This window comes from Homo sapiens, chromosome 5, assembly GCF_000001405.40.
Source record: "Homo sapiens chromosome 5, GRCh38.p14 Primary Assembly".
NCBI lineage: Eukaryota > Metazoa > Chordata > Mammalia > Primates > Hominidae > Homo > Homo sapiens.
Window position 1 is genome coordinate 60545073 of NC_000005.10, and position 6000 is coordinate 60551072.

Sequence of the window (6000 nt, forward strand, 5' to 3'; positions counted from 1 at the left end):
CATCATTTCATGCCACCACAGATTAAGCTGTTTTCACCAGTTACCACATTCATGCTTAAACATTTGGTAAATACAACTATGAAATTATTTTATAATAGAAAAAAATGTAGGAAGGTTTTTTTTTTCTTTTGTAAGGAATTGGAGACAATTAATGAGGAAGATGTGTGGCCAGGAAAATTATATTTCAGCAGTATGAAAGGTTGGTCTGCTTCTCCCACTCCACAATTCTCAAAACAATGTAAACTATCATCTTTTTTTAGATGGGAAAAAGTCATGTTCACAATAAGCCGACTTCATTTCCTCCTGTTTCAGCGTCTGCTTTCTTGACCTGTCCTCCAATTCTGCATATTTGAACCAGATTGATTGAGGGACACTGGGATGATTTTGAAAGTCCTCCTGCATGTCATCTCACAATTTCTCAGATAAATTACTCAGGAAGTTAGACTTGAAAGAAAACTCTGATTGTTTCAAAAAGCCTTTCACCTTTGTGTATAAATTCTTGAACCTGCCAGTTGCTCTGTTGCCATCTCCAAATGACCATAACTCATTCATAATCTAAAAGTTTATATAACTTGAGGATTTTTCTAGGATAAACTACATAAAGCACATTCTTAACTTCTAAAAATTGATGAGTGTTTTATGCTGTGTTTACTTTTTCCATGGGAGCGAGAAAGAAATCTAGCATGTCTGACACTTTTAAGAGTTGTGCTTGTTCCGTGTTCTGAATCCAATTCAAATGTCGAAAGTTCAAGAGAAAATGCTTAAAAGGAAGTGATTAGGAATGTCTATTTATACCACAGATAATTAGATTTATAGTACATGTGATATATAATAAATATCTCATGTATAACTGCTAGAATGTAATTACTTAGTAAATTTTCAAATAGGCATCATTTTCAATCTTAGCTATTTTAAGTCTATCACTATTTATTAAAAGATGGGAAATGAGTTGTGAGATATATTTTCTTCATTTTTTACTATACTACCCTTTTATAAGCAGAATGCCATCTCTTTGTTTATTGTCTTCAGGGACGGGTAAATTGAAGCAAAAAGCAGACAAGTTCTATGGGATTTGCTGGCATTGATTTCCCAGGATGGCAAAGTGCTAAGAACTAAACCTTTAAAGCTAACAAAATGTACTGATGTCTTTGCAAAGTATCCAAGACCAACAAGAAAGTAATTTCCCACCTCACCCTACCACCACCCAGAAAAGGAGCACAGAGATGGGGAAGAGAGTGGCTGCATCTGGCATCCAGCCAGAGGAGTCCGTGCAGGGATTCTGGATCCCTCTTCCCCCACCCCACTGCCCTTCCCCCTCCACCCCAGCGTTTTGGAGAAGCAAGAAACTGTGATGATGCAGCTCCCTCAAGTATCACATGAAGATAGTGGAAAGAGCCTCCTGAGGTAAATATGCCATGTAGACAGAAACAAGCAATGGCTCAACAGCAATGTATGAGGTCCAAGGACCAGGACCAAAGGGAAAAACAGCCATCTCACCAGACACCTGCCTACGACCAGATGCGTCATCTCCAATATTAGCTAACTCCCTGGAACCTGGACTCAAGGTGTGAAATAAAGGTTAATGGGAAACCGCAGGAGTCAAAAGGAGGGGGCAGGATTATTGAGGATTCAGGCTGTTGAGAAATGAAAGTTTGGATCACTCCCCAGATAAAGAACCTTGACCATTTAAGGGCAATGGAAATACAGAATAGGCAGTAGAAGAAGGAAGCCATAGATACCAACTATGGCCTCTCAATCAATTACAAAACTGAGAATTCTGACAGTTTTGTGTATTTCCTCTTTGCATGTGATGTATATGTGTGTATTTGTATATATTAACCATTTTCCTTTTTCTCTCTTCATTATTTTATGAAAGTTGTTGAATATAAACTCTACAATTTAGCCTTTAGGTAAGAGAATATTCAGTGGGACTTTGATTTGAGGAGTATTTAAGACAGCCAGATGAGACTACGATAACTGTTGGAACTGTGTGTCTCCTCATTTGGGGAAAGGGGTGAGAACTCTGCATTTCTCTGAAGAACAGAGTTGACTTTGTGTTATACAGAGTTCAAATATATATATAAAATGGTGCATGTGGAAGCTAAGAAGCCAAAGGAGTTCACCAAGACAGTTATCAATATATTGCCTCTCCGCTCCAAATCCACCCTTCTTTGCCCTGTTCCACGATACTAATCTGGCTCCTCGGTCAGCCAGTGCAATGTCATCTGTTGCTGGTAGAGTGTAGGGGAGACACTACAAGGTATAGTAAAGGGGTCAGATGCGGTGTCTCATGCCTGTAATCACAGCCCTTTGGGAGGCAGAGGCAGGAGGATCACCTGAGGCCAGGAGTTTGAGACCAGCCTGGACAACATGGTAAAACCCCATCTCTACTGAAAATACAAAATTAGCACGCACCTGTAATCCCAGCTACTCGGGAGGCTGAGGCAGGAGAATCACTTGAACCTGGGAGGTGGAGGTTGCAGTGAGCCAAGATCGCATCATTGCACTCCAGCCAGGGAAAAAAGGCAAAACTCTGTCTCAAAAAAATAAATAAATAAAATAAAATAAAACAAGGTATAGCAAATAAAGGAGCATTCCTTCTTGATTCTTCCTGGTTCTTGTTACCTGTGGCCGCCACCAGTGGTGTATGGGAGAGTCACCCTACAGTGAGTTCCACCAGCACCTAGTGAGGGCTTCCTACTGAGTTTTATTGTCACCCGAGCAGGCAATTTCCTTGCCAGCAGTATGCAGGAGACCCAATGGTGACCACCTTCCAGTGGGTTTTTCCAGCACCCTAGAAGGCACTTTTTTGACCACAGTGCTGATCCACTGGCACCCAACAGCCAGTACCCTACTCACCAGGCCTGGCCTGTGGCACCTCAAAGAACTTTTCTATCCTGCGGGCCACAGCACCACCCTCTCCAACAAGGTCTGAATCTCAGCCTTCAGGTGTGAAAGACCCTTCCATGTTTGTTCTTTTCTTGGGTATCCTCCCTCAGTCCTAGAAGTAGCAGCTCTTCCCTATGTTTGCTATTTCTGTGTTATTTAGCATACAATTTACCCCTTTTGTAGTTTATCACATTTTGCCAGTTAATAATTCTTTATAGTAAATGTTCCCTCTTCAAATTACTATCTCTCACCAAACACTGACTTCTATATCCTCATCAGACACTGAGTGACACAACCTCCTTCAGAAAAGAATCCCTTTCACCCTGCCCTTCATGATGAACACTCTCAACAAATTAGGTATAGCAGGAACATACCTTGACATAATAAAGGCCATATATGACGAGCCCACAGCTAACATCATACTGAATGGGGAATAACTGAAAGCCTTTCCTCTAAGAACTAGAATAAGACAAGGACACCTACTCTAAGCACTCTTATTCGGCATTATACTGGAAGTCCTAGCCAGACTTTCTCTTTCCGGAAAGAGAAAGAAATGAAAGGCATCCAAACTGGAAAACAGGATGCCAGCCAGTTGTGGTGGCTCAAGCCTGTAATCCCAGCACTTCGGGAGGCTGAGGTGGGCAGATTGCTTGAACCCAGGAGTTCAAATCCAGACTAGACAACATGATGAAACCCTGTCTCTATGAAAAATACAAAAATTAGCCAGGTGTGGTGGCACACACCTGTAGTCCCAACTACTCAGGAGGCTGAGGTGGGAGGATCACTTGAGCCTGGGAAATAGAGGATGCAGTGAGTCAAGATCACACCAGAGCACTCCAGCCTGGATGACAGAGAGAGATTCCAATTCAAAAAAAAAAAAAAGGAAGAAGCCAAATTGTCTCTACTTCAGATGACATGATTTTACAAATTCAGTAATGTTACAAGACACAAAATCAATATAAAAAATCGGTTGTGTTTTTATACACCAATAACCAACTATCTGAAAAAGAAACCAAGAAAGCAACCTCATTTATAACTTCAAAAAAGTCTCAGGGATAAATTTAGCCAAGGAGGTGAAAGATTTCTATGAAAGCCAAAACAAAACAAAACAAAAAACACTACACCCTGATGAACAAAATTGAAGAGGATACCAAAAATAGAAAGACATATTATGCTCATGAATTGGAACAATTAATATTGTTAAAAATGACTATACTACCCAAGGTAAGCTATAGATTTAATGCAATTCCTATCAAGATACTAATGACATTCTTTGAATCAATAGAAAAAACAATCCTAGAATTCACATAGAACCATAGAAGAGCCCAAATAGCAGCAATACTCAGCAAAAAGAACAAAGCTGAAGGCAATCACACTAACACATTTCAGAATATACTACAAAGCTATAGCAACCAAAACACTATGCTATTGGTATAAAAACAGATACACAGACCAGTGGAACAGAACAGAGAATCCAGAAATAAATTCACATATTTACAGCCAGCCAATTTTTGACAAAGTTGCCAGGAACATACACTGAGGAAAGGACATTCTTTTCAATAAATTGTGCTAAGAAAACTGGATATTCACATGCAGAAGAATGAAACTAGACCTCTATCTCTCACAATGTATAAAAATCAATTCAAAATGGATTAAAGACTTAAATACAAGACCTGAAACTATAAAACTACTAAAAGAAAACATAGAGGAAATGCTTCAAGATATTGATCTAGGCAAAGATTTTATGGCTAAGATCTCAAAAGCAGGGGCAACCAAAACAAAAATAGACAAATGGAACGACATTAAACTAAAAAGCTTCTGCGCAGGAAAGGAAACAATCAACAGAGTGAAGAGATAACATGAACAATGGAGAAAAAATTGCTAACTATTCATCCAACAAGGGACTAATATCCAGAATATACATAGAACTCAAAACAATTCGACAGCAAAGAATCAAATAATCTCACTAAAAAGTGAGCAAAGGACATGAATAGACATTTCTAAAAAGACAAATGGCTAACAGGTTTAGGAAAAACTGCTCAACATCACGGATCATCAGGAAAATACAGATCAAAACCACAATGAGATACCATCTCACCCCAGTTAGAATGGTTATTATCAAAGTCAAAAAATAACACATGCTGGTGATTATGTGGAGAAAAGGGAACTCTTTATGCATTGTTGGGAATGTAGATTAGTACAACGACTATGGAAAACAGTATGAAAGTGTCTTTAAAAACTAAAAATAGAACTACCATCTGACCCAGCAATCCCACTACTGTCTCTCTGTCCAAAGGAAAGGAAATCAATAAATCAAAGGGACAACTGTACCCCCATATTTATTGCTGCTCTATTCACAACAGCCAAGGTATGAAATCAACCTAAGTGTCCATCAACAGATGAATGAATAAAGAAAATATGGTATATATACACAACAAAATACTATTCAGCCATTAAAAATGAAATCTCATCATATGCGGCAACAGGGATGGAATTGCAAGTCATTATGTTTAGTGAAATAAACCAGGCACAGAAAAACAAGTATCACATGTTCCCACTCATATGTGGGAGCTAAAAAGTTGACCTCATGGAGGTAGGGAATAGAATGATAGATACCAGAGGCTGGGAAAGGGCTGGGGGGATGAGGACAGATTGGTTAATGGGTACAAACATACAGTTATGTGGAAGAAATAAGTTCTAGTGTTTAATAGCACAATAGAGTGTCTATAGTTAACAAAAAATATATTGCATATTTCAAAATAGCTGAAAGAGAAGTTCTGAAATGTTCCAAACACAAAGAAATAAATGCTTGAGGTAATGGATTTTCTAAATATGCTGATTTGATCATTATATACTGTATGCATGTATCAAACTATCACATGTACCTGATACATAGCAATATTATGTATTAATAAAAATTAATAAATAATAAGTAATAAACTTTAAAAATAATGTCCTTTAGAAAAGTTCTAATTTTTTCCACAAAAATTGATAGTGTTAAAAAATTATAGCACCTCAAAAAAGACCTTTCACAAAATAGATGCTCAAAAAATTCATTGAATTTTTGCCAAATAATTATAATTGTAAAATTTTCCTTTTTACAAGGCTGTG

General features: G+C 38.1%; 1 long non-coding RNA gene across 1 annotated transcript in view; it reads left to right on the plus strand.

Moving 5' to 3' along the window:
* PART1 (prostate androgen-regulated transcript 1) overlaps positions 1–2585 on the plus strand; it is a 59945-nt gene extending 57360 nt beyond the window's left edge. The window contains exon 4 of the long non-coding RNA NR_024617.1: positions 1030–2585. This is a non-coding gene — a long non-coding RNA (prostate androgen-regulated transcript 1). The remainder of the gene's footprint in view (positions 1–1029) is intronic.
* The last annotated feature ends 3415 nt before the right edge of the window (positions 2586–6000 follow it).